The sequence below is a fragment of the Homo sapiens genome, chromosome 5 (assembly GCF_000001405.40).
Source record: "Homo sapiens chromosome 5, GRCh38.p14 Primary Assembly".
Classification (NCBI taxonomy): Eukaryota; Metazoa; Chordata; class Mammalia; order Primates; family Hominidae; genus Homo; species Homo sapiens.
In genome coordinates this window covers 24312524-24333031 of record NC_000005.10, presented here as the reverse complement: position 1 = coordinate 24333031, position 20508 = coordinate 24312524, and the positions used below count along the sequence as shown (strand labels likewise).

The following is a 20508-nucleotide window of genomic DNA, read 5'->3' as shown; positions in this document are numbered from 1 at the left end:
CTGAAATAAGTAATATAACAGAATCTCATTTAAACATAGGTAACTTGAGTCTGGACATTTTATTTTATTCTTTATTCTGTGTTGTTTTCCTCTGTCTTTGTTAAAATCTCTGGAGTCTGAATGTATGACTGGGCTTCTTTATGAATACAAATATTTAGCATGTCTAGGGCAGTCTTTCTAGTCCCTGTATTTAGAGAGAGCTACCTCACTGTGGATAGAGATGCTGTCTTTTAACCCCATAAAGTTATTTCCAGTTGGCAGGTAATAGTGAACTGGGTTTAACCTTGTCTAAAGAACATCTGCTTCAGATCATTTTAATTTATCATGAAGACACAACTATTCTATATTATCTACATCAAATAAAATCTCTGTGCAAACCAGAAATAAAGACTCAAATAGAACGATTTTCTATTTAACAGTCAACCATATTTGCACTCAAACTCAGCCTTTTATAAGTTAGACCTCTGTGTTCAACTCTCTATTTGGTATGACTGTATGCTTGTCCTTGTAGAACTTGATCGTATTGTAAAAATAAATCTGTTAATTGGAAGGTTCAAGAGGGGCTTCAGAAGAATTAATCACCATCTTTCCCCTGAAACATTGTTTTTTGTCCAAATCTAAATAAGCATTACTTGAGGTCGTTAACCAGAAAGTCTTTTTTGGAAATGGACTAAGGTGATTTGTTTCCATTTTTTTATTCTTTATATTCTATCTAGCTCCTGTTGGTTGAAAAAAGTGGCATATGATTGCATACGAGTGTTTTTCTACTGTCTTACTTTTTTTTTTTTTTACTATTCTGGGAAATGTTAAAAGAATAATTTCAAATAGTGAGAATTAATTAGGGGTCTCAAAGCAAATAACATTTCACTGCAATAGCTTAGTTCATATTAGTGGCAAGAGAACGCTTTCAAAAAAATTATACACTAATCAATCTGTACTCTAACTCATTTTAGTCATTGTAATTAACGAATTAAGTCAGGTAATTAAATTAATTACTTACTCTATTTTTTCTATGACCTTTTACCTTCTACTGTTCTTTAGTGAGGTTTCTATTCTAGCATACCTTTTCATAAGTATGTATGTAAAATAGATATATATTAAGTTTTCTATTATTGATGTATTTGCCAGGATTCTCCAGGGAGACAAAAACAACAATAGGATATGTGTGTGGGGGACAGGATTGGTCTGGGACACACACACACACACACACACACACACACATACATATGGAGAGAAAGAAAGAGGAAGATTTGTTTTAAAAAAATTAACTCATGTAATTTTGCCAGCTGGCTGGCAAGACTGAAAATTGCAGAGCAAGCCAGAGGGCTGGAGCTCCAGGGGAAACATTGTAGCTTGAATCAAAAGGCAGGCTGCTGACAGAATTCCCTCTTCCTGGGGCAAGCTCAGTCTTTTTCTCTTAAGATATTCAACTCATTGGATGAGGCTCACCTGATATGGTTTGGATTTGTGTTCCTGTCTAAATCTCATGTTGAATTGTAATCCCCAATATTGGAGGACGGACCTGGTGGGAGGCGATTGAATCATGGGGGTGGATTTCCCCCTTGCTATTCTCATGATAGTGAGTGAGTTCTCACGAGATCTGGTTGTTTAAAAGTGTGTGACACATTCCCCTTCACTGTCTTCCTCCTTCTCTGGCCACATAAGATGTGTTTGCTTCTTTTTTGCCTTCCGCCATGATCATAAGTTTCCTGAGGCCACCAGCCATGCTTCCTATACAGCCTGTGGAACCGTTGAGTAATTAAACCTTTTTTCTTTATAAATTGCTTAGTCTCAGGTAGTTCTTTATAGAAATTCAGGAATGGACTAATACACTCACATTACTGAGATTAATCTATTTACTTAAATTCTATTGATTTAAATGTTAATCACATCCTAAAAGTAGGTTCACAGCAACATCCAGGCTGATATTTGGCCAAATATCTATGTACCGTGGACTGGCCAAGTTGATACATAATATTAACTATCATATTAATTTGTATTTATTCTAGAAATATTTATATTTAACATTTTAAGAAATTGGTAATGCATATTAGCTATAGAAGATTTTCACAAATTTAAAATATATAAATTTTAAAAAATGAAAGAATTCTGGTATGTCACTAATATCCAGAAACAAACCGATTTTAGTGTGTGACTCCTTGCTTACCTACATACATACATACATACAGCCACATAGAACAAGAAAGGAAATAATATAAGTTAAATAACAGGCACAGAAATTTCGATTTTCAGGAAATCTTTGGAAAAGTTGCATATTTGAATGGTGTGTGTGTTTTTTAGTTTGGTGCCTTAGTTTGATGACTTTCCAGGGTGTCTCAAAAAACCTGAGAAGTTACTTGAACTGGTCCAATGGCATTTGCGATGATGATGGTTTCCTCAGAAAAAAATACCCTTCAGCATTGAAAAAGGTAAAAATGACATTCATCAAGCAGTGTAACAAAGGAATTTGGTCCATAGTTGAAGTTGTAAAAGGAGAATAAGTAAATTTTCTTTTTAATGGAAATCCCAACGAATAAAGGTGCATTTGCCTTGGGGCTATACAAAAGTGACAGCCATCACTAGGGCATCTGTGGCAGGGCTTAAGTGTTTATCTGGGCAGTCCTGAGCTCCTGCATATTTTTTTTTTTTTTTGAAATGCTGAGTCCTTCCTCCTGTTCTCAGTCATGCCCAGAAACAAAGATTAATCACCATGGTAACCATGATGGAGCTGCGTATTTAGATAGATAAATATATAATTTGATAGATAAACAGACTAGTAATAGAAATTTGCATTTAGATATTTGAAAAGGAATTCAAAAGGATTGTGAACAAAGGCACTGGTCCTGTATTCCCAAACACTTTAATTTTAAAGGAGTTTAAAATTTCCTCTAGGCCCATTATTTGTTTTGTGTGTGTGGGCAGGGGAGAGGAAGGAGGGTAGGGCAATATATTGAGAAACTTCTAATAACGAAAACAAAGATCTTATAATGGACCTGTTTTGTTCACAGAATACCGAAGTCCTGGTCCTGGTACTTCTGTGTAAAATATGACAATAAGGATTTATAGTGGCTGGTCTAAAAACTTTCACAATGTGACTTAGGGCCTCGTAAGTGTGGAGAGAACTTAACGTTTTTTTGGACGAAGAGCTATGGTCATAGTTGAGAAGCTTGCATGATGTGTGAGCACATGGCTCAGTGGCGCTCACATGCACCAGATGAGCTTAGAAATATGGCATGATTCAGAAGGATGAGGAGGCATATGGTGAATCCAGTTAGGCCATACCAATTATGATAATCCTAGAGTTGTGATTGTATATTACCAGGATAGTGAGAGTGCAGCTTGAAGAAGTCATTTTAGGCTCTATGACTAGGCATGAAAAATTGCTTTCAAAGGTTGGATTTATATAAAAGTTACAATTATGCGCCTGGGTCTTGGTTGTTGGTACTAGAAGATTCCCTTTAATACATAAAGAGTGAATTTCTGAAATAAATTTCTCAATGCCAGTTTGCACCTTGGTTAACCTAGAGATGATGGGTGATAATAGCTGGAGTAGGGGAATAGGATGCATATGTTTCATGGAGTGGTAGGAAAAGGGAAAACACAGGGCAATTTAAACAAATTTTGCACCTGCAACCATGGTGCTCATGGTTAAATAGGAGGAACAAATCATTTAAACTAGTTATTTTGGGAATGGAAAATGTATTGTTAATAATTAGGTTAGACAATGGGTGTTAATGGGGAAGTTTGGGCACACTCATTAAGACAATTTTTGCATGCATCAGCTGGCATGCTCATGAAATGGGAGATCTCGCATGTTTCATGGAATTACTCAAGGCTTTGGTTCTGTGTCATATTGGACCTAGTAGCGCTGTCAGGACTGTGAGGAGTGATGACTTCCCAGGCATTTATCACCTAGTGAATTGTCTTTTTAGTTACATCTACATAGGCCTCATCTTTAACAAAATTGTAAATTTCTTGAGAGAAGAGGCTATGCTTAGTGCTGTATATGGCATAGTAATATATACATTAAAGATGAAATCAAAAGAAAAACTAAAGTGGGAGGGAGGATTACTCAATTTGTGATATTGAAGCTAAATGTAAATCTTCCTTTTGTTACTCTTTCCATCTTGTATTCATTAAAAGGAAATATGATATAACAATAAAACATCAAAAGTACAGAAAGTTACCAATTTAAATCACATAGTATGCTAATTACTTTTTAAGTTTTGAAATTGTCTGTTTACAAAACACTTTGCCAATATTTTGGTATTAGTTATAACAATGGTTTTAATTTCATCTTTATCCTCATCAATTTAACAGAAAAAAAGTAAATTAGCAAACTAGTAAAAGAGTTAAAATATTCAAGGCTGAATTTTTCACAAACATTCCAGCCACACTTTGCAGACATTATTTTCCCCCAAATATAGCAAATAAATATATGCCAAAATACAGGAGTGAAACTTACCAGATGTCCAACAGCCTCAAGCCAGACAGATATTGGTCAAAACTTGAAAATTCACAGATGTAAGACAGTCTGTTATTCTGCTTCAAGCACTATTTTTATTTCAGTAAAGGCAGTGAAGTGTATGACATTAGATAAAAATATTTATATTTTAATTGTGTAATTCTGATTAAGTGAAAACATTCAAATTATGGTTTATATGTATCATTTCATTAATTCTATTTATGCCATTGTATCCATAGTTATATGGATGGAATAAAATAATTCATAGACCAAATAACATTTAAATATACATACTTTTAAATGCTATTACTTTATTTCTTAAATCAACTTTATGCTTTAAACAGTGTGTTTTATAAAAATACAAGAAAATACATTAACGAGCTTTTAAAATATAAGTTATAATTTTTTAAATTAACATGCGTTTAGTGCCTACTGTGCAGAAAGCATTTTGCTAAGCATTCTGCCAGGACAACAGAATCTTGGTTCTTTCTCTCATAGAGGTTACATTCTATTAGAAAGGTGTCTCACATTTCCTGTCCCCTTGAGGGAATAGAACAATCATGTATTTTGCTTCTTGGATTAATGCTTTAAAGGAAACACATAAAGAGCTGAGATGAAGAATAATGGTGGTGGAAGGGGCAAGAGCTACTCTAGATAGGCTGGTGGGAAAGATCTCTTGATGAAGAGATGCCATTTATTCTAAGACTTAAGGAGAGAGATGCTGGTCACGTGAGGACTGGGGAGATGGAGCATTACTGGCTGAGGAAACACCATGTGAAAGGGCCAGGAAGAAGAAAAGAACTCTGTGTGTATGAAGAATTGAAAACAGTCTTTTGTGGCTAGAGCAGAGTAATGTGAAGAGACATGAGAGAGCTTGGGTAGATGGGGCCATGCAAAAAAAGCACAAGTTTATTCTAGATGAAATGAGAAACCGTCGAAATAGTTCAAGAAGCAGAATGCTGTGATCAGATCCACACTTTTAGGAGTGTTACTGTTCTGTAAATTAGAGAATAAATGACTGGATATAAGTAAAGCAATTAATCCATTTATAAGAGTGATAAATTAATAGCGGCGAAGGATGATTTACAGCTAAGACTAGGTGTGGCCAGTGGAGATGAAAGAAAATGAGAATAAGAACAGCAGAATATTGTATTGCTGCATTTAGAAGATGAAACTGTTAGGGACTGTTGAATGATAAGTTGGGAGGAATGTTATGAAGGGAATGGAAAATTATGGATTATTTCTTAGGTTTCAAGTTTCAGTAACTAAGAGGACTGCAATGTTCTTTATTGAGATAGTAAAGATTGAATTGAAGGAGTAAGTTTGGATGGAGAAAAATAGAATTAAGATAGAGTTTTGGGCAAGGTCATTTTGAGAGATATTTGAGGAATCCACAGGGAAATGTCAGTGCAAAATTGAATGTGCAGGCCTGTGTGTGGAAGAATGTTCTGTTCTGGACCTATATTTTTGGGAGTCATTATTACTGTGATAATAAAATACTTCAATTCATATCAATTGATGACATCATTCAGGAAAAAATCTTGAAATAGCAGAGAATCAAAAAATTAGTTCAAGTATGCAGAATATTTGTTGGTTGGATAGAGCATTTGAATCACATCATACTGATTTTGTCCAACTAACATTAAAAATGTAGATAGAAGAGAAAAAATTTCAAACAGTTTATTTGAAATAACTGTTTGGTAAATAGTCTCATTTAATTTTTTCAAAGCCCATTCAAGTTATATATTGTACTTAACAGATAATAGTTGTTGAGAATAACTAACATTCATATAGATCTTACAAGCTTCAAAATGTACTTCTAAGCATTAAAAAACTGATGCATCAGGGCTTTGTAGCTCATGTCTGTAATCCCAACACTTTGGGAGGCCGAGGCAGGAGGATGACTTGAGACCAGGAGTTTGAGACCAACCTGGGTAACATAAACAGGAATAATATTTACATGAGTCTCTTAATAATTCATATCATCAAGTGTGGTAATGTATAAAACAGTACTAATGGTTCATAGAAAAATCCAGTTTTTGTGTTGAATACGGGTACTATTCTAATAGCCAGACCCCATCTCTTTAAAAAACAGTTAGCTGGGTGTAGTGTTGCATGTCTGTGGTCCCAGCTACTCAGGTGGCCCAGGAGTAATTGCTTCACGTTAAGAGTTTGAGGCTGCAGTGAGCAATGATGGTTCCACTGCACGCTAGCCTGGGCAAAGAGTGAGACCCTATCTCCTAAAAACAAAACAACAACAACAAAACTCAACAACAGCAAACTTTTTCCATAAGGAAATTAAATAAATTAAACAAAAAACACTTCAGGACATCTGCCCCTGACCAATTTCCCCAATTTTCTTTGGGGAAAGAAACTTGCAGAAAGAATTGGTTACTTCTAAATGTGGGATTTCTAGAAAGAGGGTCTAAACCATGCAGCATTTCCTGAAATATAGACCCTTGATCGAAATATAAGAGTCAGGCAGGCCAAAAACCCCTGCACAGCAAAGGGAAATTACATGACCAACAGTATTCTTGAATGCAGTAAATTTTACTGAGTATTTTGTACATGCCGGGCAATTTTCTAGCCACTTGGAATACATCAGTAAATAAATTAGATATAGGCCCTCACTGTTTGGGAATTGATATTCAAGAGGGAGAAGGCACTGAAAAATACTCATAATAAACAAATACATTATACAACATGTATAAAAGGGAATTAAAGGATAGAATAAGGTAAGAGAGATGTGAAATACCAGTGTAGAGGTGGGGCAAGGTTGGTGCAGACACTGTTGAAGAGAGAAGATTTGAGCAGAGAAGTGCAGGATGTGACTAGTTAGTCAAAAAGGTACCTCTCAGAAGATGCTCCCATAATGAGAATGGCTCAGGCAAGTGTACCAAGGCAGATGCATGTGCAGCAAGTTTACTAACAGCAGGAAGCTATTTTGACTATAGCAGGTGATAAAGGAAGGGGAAATGTTGTGGTCAGTTAACATTAAGCTTGTGGTAGATCTTTGAACAAGGGTGTGAGATCTTTTGAGCTACATTTCAGAAGTATTATTTGAGTTAGTGTGTTGACTATAGACAGGAGAGGGTGAGAGTAGAATCAGAAAGGCTATTAGTGGTATAGCAGCCCTATTCAAAGATTTATGCAGAACTGTTTCTGCAGATATGCCCTGCCAGAAGACAGTTGACTTGGACTTGGTGTGATTTTTACCGTGGTAGCCAATAATTTAAACATTGGTAAACTAAATGGTCAAGTCTCAGCTTTCATTAAATCAATCAACAACATTTGGCAAGTTGATAACTACATTACCTTTGAAACGGTTCATTAACTTAGAATTTCCACTGCTTCATCAGCTAATCATTCTCCTCCTTTCCTGTTCCTCTTCATTCCCAAGCTTTCAACCTTGACATATCCAAGAAATTCCTTTCTTTTCTTACTGTGCTTACTACTTGAGTAATCTTATCATGCCCCATAGCTTAAAATACTACCTGTGTGCTCAGAGTCATACAGGTAGTATTTATATGTCCGTTTTTCTAAATGGTAGATGACTATAACTACTTAGAAACATTTTATGGAGGTGTCTACTAGGCATTTCAACCTTAAAATATTGATGTTGGAACTCCTGATCTTTCCTTCTAAATCCTCTTCTACTACCCATACAAACACAATAAACACAATAACTCCAACCTTCCAATTCATGAGTCCAAAACCAAAAATAAAACTTCAGATTAATATGTGATTTATTGCACATTTAGATAACCAGCAAATTTTAGACACTAAACTTTGAAAATACATCCATTTTCTGTTCACATGTAAATTAGGAGATGAGAGGAGATGAAATTCAACATAGAAACTAAATAATCATAGCAGATTTTCTATAGAAATAGGAGAGAGGGCACAGTAGATTAATACAAACGCAGGTTGGTGGATAAATGTGGTTCCAAGAATGTATATAATCATAATAGTATTTACTCATTTTGCATATTTAATTATTTTTTCAGAAGTGATAATGGATTTGCATCTATTTGTTTCAATTTTTTTCTTAAATTCTTCAAATATTTCTATTGGCATTCACTTAGATCTCTAAAATAAATACTATGTTTTAACAAACTTAGCTATCACAAAGTGAAATTTGCTGTAAGCTTCATTACTTTTCATTTTATTGACTCCAGGTGAGAACAACAACAAAAAAAGAACTAGAGGTGAAAGTATACCTATCAATTTGTTTTGCTGCTATAAAAATTACCATAAACATATGGGCTTAAGCAAAATAAATATTATCTTAGAGTTTTTCAGGTAAGAAGCCCCAAATGGGTCTCACAGGACTAAAATCAACAGGTCACTTTTTTTTTCTGCCTATTGTAATACGCTAAGACATCTCCGTGAGTGGAAAATAGACACAAGGTTGAGTTTCAAAATGCTGCCACCTCTAACTGCCTGCTACAAGCATCAGTGAAGTCCTAGATGTATGGTGAAGATGCTAAAGCAAATATTTTATTAATCTGTTCTCAGACTGCTATAAGGACATACGTGAGAATGGGTAACTCATAAAGGAAAGAGGTTTAATGGACTCACAGTTCTACATGGCTGGGAAGGATTCACAATCATGGCAGAAGATGAAGGAGGAGGAAAGGCTCATCCTACATGGTGGCAGGCAAGAAAATGTATGCAGGGGAATTGCCCTTTATAAAAGCATCAGATCTCATGACAGTTATTCACTATCATGAGAACAGTATGGGAAAAACCCACATCCATGATTCAATTACCTCCCACTGGGTCCCTCCCATGACATGTGATGATTATGGGAGCTACAATTTGGGATGAGATTTGGGTGGGAACACAGCCAAACAATATCAACTATCAATATTAATTTCAGATATGTTTTAAGTAGTGACTCAAATGGTATCAATTTTTAAGATAAAATAAACTTAAAACTTTCAACGGAAATTATATGACACAAATAAAATAGGTACTAGTATAATTACAACTAGAAAGATCTTTGGGAAAAAATATAGTTCAACTCTCCCATTGTATAAATGAAAAAGATTCAGAGGAATAAGTGGCGTTTCCATGATAATACATCTGATTAATGACTGAGTAAAGATGAGAACCAGGGCTCATTTCTATCTTTAATGCTGGGGACAGTCCTTAAATCTGGCTAAACTCAACAGCCTCCAAAAAATAAATAAAAATACATTACACCCTCTGCTTCTAATAGTTTCTTTTCATTTATTTCTGTTATTGTGAATTTTCCTATAAGATTATCTTACATCCATACATTTTTATTAAAAACAGAAAACTTTCAAGGTACTTGCATGATCCTTATTATTTTATATAATGTGATGATGAAAATAATTGCATTTAAAACAATAATTTCTCTTTCTGAAGGAATTAAATGATTGCTTTAGAGTTTAGATTTTTTTTCTATTTAAGAAGCTCATTTCTAATAATCATTTGGAAAGAGACAATTAATGGGTTTGTTTTTGAATTGCTATTTGAAACTATTTTAATTTGAATGGATTCTGGCCTCCTGTTCTGAAATGAGGCAGGGCACAGAGATAAACATCTTAAGGTATATGAAATTGACTTGTGATGATTTTAGATGGTAAGATACCTTTAAGTCTTATTTCACTTATGCTTATGATCTCTAAATGTGTTTGAAGTTCCGTTTTTGTTTTTGATAAACTCACCAGTTTAAATTGACAAAGATAAAGTAATTGTATAATTTAAGTTGTTATAGTTATTGGATTAGTTATTTCTCTATGTGAAAGCTTGACTCAGAGAACTCTGTGATGCCAAAAACCTAGCAGAGGAAGACAACCAGTTATTCTGTCACTTGATAATGGCAGCTTTTTATCCTCCAACCCAAGGTCAATTGCATTGTCTTTGGTGAAAGATAGAGAACTATCGCTAAAAAAGATTTTACTGGGCAGCAATTCTGAATCTATTTCCTCTGATGAAATGTCGATAGCTTTCTAGGACAAAATGTAGTTTTTCTAGAAACGAAGGTGAAATTGGTTTGAAAATGTACTCCACAAATCAATTCCTTTCAATATAAAACATTTGAGAAAGAAAAATTAACAAGTAATCCAATATGCTGTTATGTTTCCATCTTTTTATTTGAATTCATCAAACATATTACATTTTCTCCAAAAAACCAATTTAGGGAAGCATTGATGTTCTTCTAATGGTTTTAGAGTCATAAAATGTGTAGTAAAAAGTCAGCTGCTGTGAACCTGGAAATCCTTGAAAACTAACAAGAGATAAGATCTTCTGAAAGAACAGACTCACAGAGCTATATATGTTATGAGGCATTATAGAAAACAAATAAGAACATGAAAAATACTTATGTACTCAAAATAATACAACTTGACAGATGATAGTTTAGGACTATGGTCAAAAATATATTTATAATATATTGAATCATCAAATTCTGACTTCTTAATTTCTTTTGGCAATACCATTCAATTGTATGAGAGCTTTTTTTGTTCACTTTTTAAAAATGCAATACTTTTTTTCTCAAAATAGTAAAAATGTAACCCAACCAAAACAGAAAATATAAATATTAATTTTCCTTATGAAAATGTTAAACCCCTTATTAGATTTTTTGTAAGTGGTATTAGTAGCTAGTCAATTCCCTGAAAATTGTTTGCAGTGCAGATGGTCACACACTATAAGGAATTTCCTGTGTAATCCAGTAAGTTCCTGAAGGTAGAGTTGCACTGAAATGCATATGTGAAAACTGATTTCAAATGGAAACATAGTGAGGAAAAGAAGGAAAGTGAGCAAGTAAAGGAAATGCAGGGGAAAAAAGCCACAAATAAGCCTAGATTATCCCTGTGCAGAAAGACAGATCCCAGGCACCAAGAAAAGCTCAAGTGATCGTGGTCCCTAAATCAGCACAGTAGAGATGGGTGGTTAAATAGTGAGCCACTCTTTTACAGCATACACAGACCCACCAGGATGACCCTCCTAAAATAGCAAGAGGTTTTTGGAGGATTATTTCAAGTTCCAACAGCTGGCAAGGGTGATTCTCAGCTTCATGGGCTCCACCACCCCTAAGTGGAAGGAGCCTTTGAAGGCCTGGTGACCTAATTTATTTCCTTGCACAAACATGTTCTGTAAAAATTTGCAGATGTGTTGAGGCTTCTGGTACACCATGAACTGATATGAACTAAAGGATTGGATTCATGGAAGCAAGCCCCTGGACTTGGGCAGGAGGGACCTGAGTGTCTATTCTACCTGCAGAGCCACTTGGATCCCCACTAATGTTTACACACATGAAGCTCATGGAGCAAGCTCAGTTCTATCATTTGGCAAAAAGAGAAGGATTCAAATTCATAAGCGAGTGACATCCAGCCCTTTCTGGAAGGAATAACAATTTTCAAGGCCACCACCAAAGAAAAGGAAGATGTCATAAGCATCAGTGTTTTGCTTACCAAAAGAGGGAGGGCACAACATGGGTTGACCTAGCATCTCTGCTTCCATATAACCCAACTTACAGAACAGACTTCTGTGAATGTCCCGACCAATAGTCCTTCATCTTCTGCCTCAAGAAAATCTTTTTTCTTCTGTCAAGGTTAGTTTTTCTCCATAGTGCAGCATATTGGTGTAGTTTCATATTATCTTTGAAAACATTGGTTTCCAAACATCTGTTTTCAGAAATGAGAACCACATGGACCTCTTGTAGAAGCCAATCCCGTCATCAATCTCATGTGGCTGACGCCAGTAACTTCAAATGCCTGAACTTTTCCATGTCCATCCTGTAGCAAAGAACTGGGCCTGTTCTTCTAGCCAGGCAGCTGAACAGCTGTTTCTCATCCCACCTGTATAGTGTTTACATTTACCTCTAGTCTTGATCTGTGGAGTGACAGTCAAGCTGATACCTCAGCCTGAGAAGGTGAAGTCATATGGTAGTACTTCCTCAGAAAGATCTGTGGCACTGTTAAAGATAATGTCGAAGACGACTGATTAGAGGTTAGCAATCTAACTCTCAACCCCTAAGGCTGAAGGAGAGGAATAGAGCCAACATGGTAAGTCAGTCTTGGGTGGATATGAATTTCCTTCACAGCCTGCAATGACTGTTTTTTTGTTATCCTAAGTAAATATATTCACTCCTCATCTTTATCCAAATAATGCAGTTTGCAAAAGAGACATTGACCTTAGCAAGTAAAAACAAATAAAGAGCTCAGCAAGTATAGTCATTTCAAGGACAAAATGTATTATGTTTTGTCTTTTAGAGAGACTGCCTGTCTTCCCTGTGGCAGTAACCTTAAGTCTCAACTCATCTGATTTAAGGGAACAGAATACAGTGATGTGAAAATGTATGCCCACCTAATATGATGGGAACTCCACTTAGCAAAGTGGGAAGTCACTATATCTAGCTATTCTTGAGTGTTAGAGTGGCTCCTCTCAGTATTAGACCTTCCAATTTACTAAGAAAATTAATATGTTATTTCTGTCTCCACTATGATAGGCTTCGGCAGTGTAGTGGTCTCTTTTCTAAAGGGAAGAATATTCTATCAGGGAACAGAAAAAATGACTTCCTTGAGCTAGAAGTTGAATCTTTCACTTGGCCTTTTTGGGGTTCGTATATCATTGAATTAACTGGCAAAAAAAGGGAGTTACTGTATTTGCTAGGAAGATTGCTCCTAACTTATAAGGATAAATTGGTTTGCTACTATACAGTGGAAGTAAGAAGTATTATGTCTAGAAAGCAGAAGATCCTACTCCTACTTATACACTAACATATACTAAAACTATTCTAAAATTTAAAATGTATTAAAAACTTATATATAACTTGTCATGAACCATTGAACTTAGTGATATCTGAGGCCTATATTTTGCTAATGCCCCATTAATATTATATAACTGACTTTCATTCCACAGTCAAAAAGGAATTTAAATTTCTAAATAGCCAATATTATTTTACTCTCAGTCAGTTACTATGTCTAATTTACCATATGGGGTGTTTCAGGGCATTTGGAATTTTGATCCTCTCTTTGAGACTACATCTGATAAGGGCATTCTAGAGAATACCTTGAATTTGTTATTGACACTATTTTGATGATAGTGTAACAGCAGTCTTCTTGATATCTGGATATCAAAATGAGGACCACACAGCTGATATAATATTTTATTATATAAATAAAGAATACTGAAATAACTGATTTTTAAAACTCTGCTTTAATGTTCATAATCCATTATATGGGTCAGTGAAGGCTACCTATTTGTGATTTATGAAAAAATGAGATAAGAATCCACTGAATAAAGACCAGAGGATATTGGTGAAGTTTCATATACATATCTAAAAGTACAGTGAAAGAGGCAGAGATGAGCTACACTTTTGTACTCAAGGACATAATCACTGAAGTACCTTTTACTTTTATCATGGTGAAATGTCTATATGTGGACTGATGAGTAATGATTACAAGTGTCCCAGCCATTCCTAGGACCCTGCTAACTCAGTTCATTAAACGTATTCAGCTAATGAAGCTGAGGTTATAAGATCAATCACCCCATGGTCTTTATATTTGCCTAACTGCCATCACATGAAATCATTTAGAGAATTCAGACTGGAAATATATAGGCATCTTAATTAGGTCAGTCCTCTGCCATCAGAAAACAGCGTCTCTTTCAAAGCATTTTGTACAAAAGCCTTTTACAGTTTGTTTCATTATCTACCATTCAAACATCTGATTTCTCCTAATTTAGATTTTAATATGCTGATCTGAGTACCAAACTATATCATTATTAGAAGTGTTAAGGTCACATAAACTTTTAACGGAAGCAACATATTTATCCCATTTTCTGGTTTTTTTTTTTTTTTTTTTTTGCTTTTGGTTAATTTCCCATTTGTCCTTCAGACAATGAAAAATGAGGCAGCCAAAATAATATTTAGGATTCTGAACTATGCATATATTTTCTCAATTATTGATATTTCTGCTTGTTTTGATACAGAGTATTTAAACATTGGCATGTGTGTAAAGGCTATAGCTAATAGCTAGATAGCAATACAGGGAACATGATTTTTTAAAACCACAAACTTATGCTGATGAGTAATCAACTCATGTAATGGATACACAGGTATTCATATACCAAAAACCCAATCCAAGTTCATCCTAAAAAAATAAAATTTGGGGAAGCTTGGGCAAGATGGGTGAATAGGAACAGCTCCGGACTGCAGCTCGCAGAAAGACCAACACAGAAGGCAGGTGATTTCTGTATTTCCAACTGAGGTACCCAGTTAATCCCACTGGGAATGGTTAGAAAGTGGGTGCAGCCAACAGAGGGTGAGCAAAAACATGGTGAGGTGTCGCCTTGCCCGGGAAGCACAAGGGGTAGGGGAACTCTCTCCCCTAACCAAGGGAAGCCATGAGGGACAGTGCTATCTGGCCCACATACTATGCTTTTCCCATGGTCTTCACAATCCACAGACCAGGAGATTCCCTCAGGTATCTACACCACAAGGAACCTGGCTTTCAAGCACAAAACTGGGTGGCAGTTAGAGCAGACACAGAACTAGCTGAAGGAGTTTTTTTTTTGTACCCCAGTGGCACCTGGAATGCCAGTGAGACAGAACCATTCACTCCCCTGGAAAGGGGGCTGAAGCTAGGGAGTGAAGAGGTCTTGCTCAGCGAATCCTATACTCACAGAGCCCAGTAAGCTAAGATCCACTGGCTTGAAACTCTCACTGCCAGCACAGCAGTCTGAAGTCGACCTGGGATGCTTGAGCTTGGTGGGGGGAGGGGGGGTCCACCATTACTGAGGCTTGAGTAGGCGGTTTTCCCCTCACAGTGTAAACAAAGCTGCCAGGGAGTTCAAACTGAATGGAGCCCACTGCAGCACCGTAAAGGTGCTGTAGCCAGACTGCCTCTCAAGATTCCTCCTCTCTGGGCAGGGCATCTCTGAGAGAAAGGCAGCAGTCCCAGTCAGGGGCTTGTAGATAAAACTGCCATCTCCCTGGGATAGAGCACTTGGGGGAAGGGGCAGCTGTGGGTGCAGTTTCAGCAGACTTAAATGTTCCCAACTGCCAGCTCCGAAGAAAGCAGAGGATCTCCAAGCACAGTGCTCGAGCTCTGCTAAAGGACAGACTGCCTCCTCAAGTGGGTCCTTGACCCCCATGCCTTCTGATGGGGAGACACCTCCCAGCAAGAATTGAGAGACACCTCCCACAGGAGAGTTCTGGTTGGCACCTGGCAGGTGCCCCTCTGGGACAAAGCTTCCAGAGGAAGGAGAGACAGCAATCTTTGCTGTTCTTCAGCTGCCGCAGGTGATACCCAGGCAAACAAGGTCTGGAGTGGGCTCCCAGCAAACTCCAGCAGACCTGCAGCAGAGGGGCCTGACTGTTAGAAGGAAAACTAAAAAACAGAAAACAATAGCAGCAACAACAACAAAAATGATGACCACACAAAAACTCCATCCGAAGTTCACCAACAGCAAAGGCCAAAGATAGATAAATCCATGAAGATGAGAAAAAAAACAGTGCAAAAAGGCTGAAAATTACAAAGGCCAGAATGCCTCTACTTCTCCAGAGGATCACAATTCCTTGCCAGCAAGAAAACTGGATGGAGAATGAGTTTGATGAATTGAGAGAAGTAGGCTTCAGAAGGTGGGTAATAACAAATTCCTCCGAGCCAAAGGAGCATGTTCTAACCCAATGCAAGGAAGCTAAGAACCTTGATAAAAAGTTAGAGGAATTGCTAACTAGAATAACCAGTTTAGAGAAGACCATAAATGTCCCGATGGAGCTGAAAAACACAGCATGAGAACTTCATGAAGCATATGCAAATATCAATAGCTGAATAAATTAAGCAGAAGAAAGGATATCAGAGATTGAAGATCAACTTAATGAAATAATGCGTGAAGACCAGATTAGAGAAAAAAGAATGAAAAGGAATGAATAAATTCTCCAAGAAATATGGGACTATGTGAAAAGATCAAGCCTACACTTGATTGGTGTACCTGAAAGTGACAGGGAGAATGGAACCAAGTTGGAAAACACACTTCAGTATATTATCCAGGAGATTTCCCCAACCTAGCAAGACAGGCCCAAATTCAAATTCAGGAAATACGGAGAACACCACAAAGATACTCCTTGAGAAGAACAACCTCAAGACACATAATCATCAGATTCACCAAGGTTGAAATGAAGAAAAAATTGTTAAGGGCAGCCAGATAGAAAGGTTGGGTTACCCACAAAGGGAAGCCCATCAGGCTAACAGTGGATCTCTCTGCAGAAACCCTACAAGCCAGAGGAGAGTGGGGGCCAATATTGTACATTCTTAAAGAAAATAATTTTCAACCCAGAATTTCACATCCAGCCAAACTAAGCTTCATTTGTGAAGGAGAAATGAAATCCTTTACAGACAAGCAAATACTGAGGGATTTTGTCACCACTAGGGCTGTCTTACAAGAGCTCCTGAAGGTAGCGCTAAATATGAAAAGGAAAAACCAATACTGGCCACTGCAAAAACAAACCAAAATGTAAAGACCATCAACACTGTGAAGAAACTGCATCAACTAATGGGCAAATAACCAGCTAGCATCTCGTAATGACAGGATCAAATTCACACATCACAATTTTAACCTTAAATGTAAATGGGCTAAATGCCCCAATTAAAAGGCACAGACTGGCCAACTGTATAAAGAGTCAAGAACCTCAGTGTGTTGTATTCAGGAGACCCATCTCATGTGCAAAGACACACATAGGCTCAAAATAAAGGGATAAAGGAATATTTACCAAGCAAATGGAAACCAAAAAAAAAAAAAAAGAAAAGAGGTTGCATTCCTAGTCTCTGATGAAATAGACTTTAAACAACAAAGATAAAAAAGACAAAGAAGGGCATTACATAATGGTAAAGAGATCAATGCAACAAGACGAGCTAACTATCATAAATATATATGCACCCAATACCAGAGCACCCAGATTCATGAAGAAAGTTCTTAGAGACCTACAAAGAGACATAGACTCCCACACAATAATAGGCAGAGACTTTAACACCCCACTGTTGTGTCTGGAATTGGTGGGTTCTTGGTCTCACTGACTTCAAGAATGAAGCCGCAGACCCTGGCAGTTAGTGTTACAGCTCTTAAAGATGGTGTGTCCGGAGTTTTTTCCTTCTGATGTTCAGACGTATCCAGAGTTTCTTCCTACTGGTGGGTTCACGGTCTTGCTGACTTCAGGAGTGAAGCTGCAGACCGTAACGGTGAGTGTTACAGCTCTTAAAGGTAGTGTTTCTGGAGTTTCTCATTTCTCCTGGTGGGTTTGTGGTCTCCCTGGCCTCAGGAGTGAAGCTGCAGACCTTCGTGGTGAGTGTTATAGTTCATAAAGGTGGCGCTTCTGGAGTTGTTTGTTCCTCCTGTCTGGAGTTGTTCATCCCACCTGGTTGGTTCGTGGTCTCACTGGCTTCAGGAGTGAAGCTGCAGACCTTCACGGTGAGTGTTACAGCTCATAGAGGCGGCACAGACCCAAAGAGTGAGCAGCAGCAAGATTTATTGCAAAGAGTGAAAGAACAAAGCTTCCACAGCGTGGAAGGAGACCCGAGTGGGTTGCCACTGCTGGCTCAGGTGGCTGCTTTTATTCCCTTACCTGGACCCACCCACATCCTGCTGATTGGTCCATTTTACAGGAGCTGATTGGTCCATTTTACAGAGAGCTGATTGGTGCATTTACTAACCTTTAGCTAGACACAGAGTGCTGATTGGTGTGTTTAGAATCCTTTAGCTAGACACAAAAGTTCTCCAAGTCCCCACCAGATTAGCTAGACACAGAGCGCTGATTGGTGCATTTACAAACCTTTAACTAGACACAGAGGGCTGATTGGTGTGTTTACAAACCTTTAGCTAGAAACAGAATGCTAATTGGTGTGTTTACAATCCTTTAGCTAAACAGAAAAGTTCTCCAAGTCCCCACCCATCCCAGAAGCCCAGCAGGCTTCACTTCTCATTGGCACTCGCCGTGGGACTTTGCAGCACCTAGCCCAGGCACTCTGGCAGCCCAGAGGGAGCTCATCCCAGACAACCAAGAGGAAAAGAGGGGAAGCAAGAAAGAGACGGAGACCCACCATCATGGCCAATGATCCTGCGAAGAGGGAAAGGCAGTCCCCGCATGGGATTCAGCCTCTGATCAAGCCCAGCAGGCTCCGGCAGGCTGTGCACAGTGCAGGGCTTACTGAGCCTGCGCTCACCTGGAACATGCGCTGGCTCGCGAGTGCTGCACGCAGCCCCGGCTGCCACCCGCGCCTCTCTCTTCACACTTCCCAGCAACTAGAAGGAGCCGGCTCCAGCCTCAGACAGCCCCAGAGAGGGGCCCTCCTAGCACAGCTGCTGGCTGAAGGGCTCCTCGAGTGTGGCCAGAGTAGATGCCGAGGCCGAGGAGGCGCCGAGAGCAAGTGAGGGCTGCTAGCACGTTGTCACCTGTCACTGTCAGTATTAGACAGATTGATGAGACAGAAAATTAACAAGGATATTCAGGAGTTGAACTCAGCTCTGGAACAAGCAGACTTAATAGACATCTACAGAATTCTCCACCCCAAATCAACAGAATATACATTCTTCTCAGCACCACATAGCACTTACTCTAAAATTGACCACATAATTGGAAGTAAAACACTCCTCAGCAAATGCAAAACAATGGAAATTGTAACAGTCTCTCAGACCACAGTGCAATCAAATTAGAACTCAGAATTAAGAAACTCACTCAAAACTGCACAACTACATGGAAACTGAACAACCTGCTCCTGAATGACTGCTGGGAAAATAATGAAATTAAGGCAGAAATAAAGAAGTTCTTTAAACCAATGAGAATGAAGACAAAACATACCAGAATATCTGGGACACAGCCAAAGCAGTGTTTAGAGGAAAATTTATAGCACTAAGTGCCCAAAGGAGAAAGAGGGAAAGATCTAAAATAGACACCCTAACATCACAATTAAAAGAACTAGAGAAGCAAGAGCAAACAAATTCAAAAGCTAGCAGAAGACGAGAAATAACTAAAATCAGAGAAGAACTGAAGGAGATAGAGAGACAAAAAAACCTTCAAAAAACCAATGAATCGAGGAGCTGGTTTTTGGAAAACATTAACAAAATAGAGAGACCACTAGCCAGACTAATAAAGAAGAAAAGAGAGAAAAATCAAATAGACACAATAAAAATTGATAAAGGGGAGATCACCACTGATCCCACAGAAATACAAACTACCATCAGAGAATACTGTTGGGAGGAAAGCTGAGTTGTGGGAGAGAAGCTGAGGCAGGGCTTGCATGTCTGCTAGACTTACTGGCTCTTTGCTTCTAGCACTCCCGTTATCTCAAGCAACCATATGTTTCTCATTCAGTTGGTACACTGTTTCCTCTCAATCCCCGCATCCTCACTACCTATTTGTTTGAGCACCAATAAATAGCATGGGCTCCCAGAGCTTGGGGCCTTTGCAGCCTCCACACTTGCGATGGGCCCCTGGTCCCACTTTGTCTCTCAAACTGTCTTTTTCTCATTCCTTTGACTCCACCAGACTTCGTCGCCCCCATGACCTGTTGTTGGGTGTGATCACTCCAACATTGCTGGCTGCCCAACATGGGGTGACAAAGACCCTGGTGAAGGAATGCTAGAGCATGTGAAAGCGGAGGACGCATAGTCAAAGGACACCAGAGGATGTCTAAAAGAAGCTCGGTGGGAAAGCTGAGCACTCGGAAGAACCAGGGTAACAATGGGACAAAATGAAAGCAGACACTCTACTTACTTAAATTTCTTAAGGCATTTACTATGAAGAGGGAGAGTGAAAGTTAGTACTCAGAATTTGTTATCACTCTTTAGTACAGTAAAGCAGTTTTGTCCATGGTTTCCTGAACAAGGAACTATGGAGTTGTATCAATGGGAGAGAATTGGAAGAGATTTTAAAAAGGTGTAGAAAAAGGGAGCAGAAATTCCAGTTTCTGTTTTGTCAAAGTGGGAGCTAATAAAGGCAGCAGTTGAGCCATTTCAAACAGATGATGAGGCAGATTCAGATGAGGAAGAGGATGAGTGTGAAAAACTAACTT

The 20508-nt window shown here is 38.0% G+C and overlaps 1 long non-coding RNA gene across 2 annotated transcripts in view; it reads right to left on the bottom strand.

Moving 5' to 3' along the window:
* Positions 1–10566: 10566 nt before the first annotated feature.
* Positions 10567–20508, bottom strand: part of LOC105374689 (uncharacterized) — a 30724-nt gene continuing 20782 nt past the window's right edge. For both annotated transcript variants that reach the window (XR_925859.3, XR_925858.3), the window contains exon 3: positions 10567–12413. This is a non-coding gene — a long non-coding RNA (uncharacterized LOC105374689). The remainder of the gene's footprint in view (positions 12414–20508) is intronic.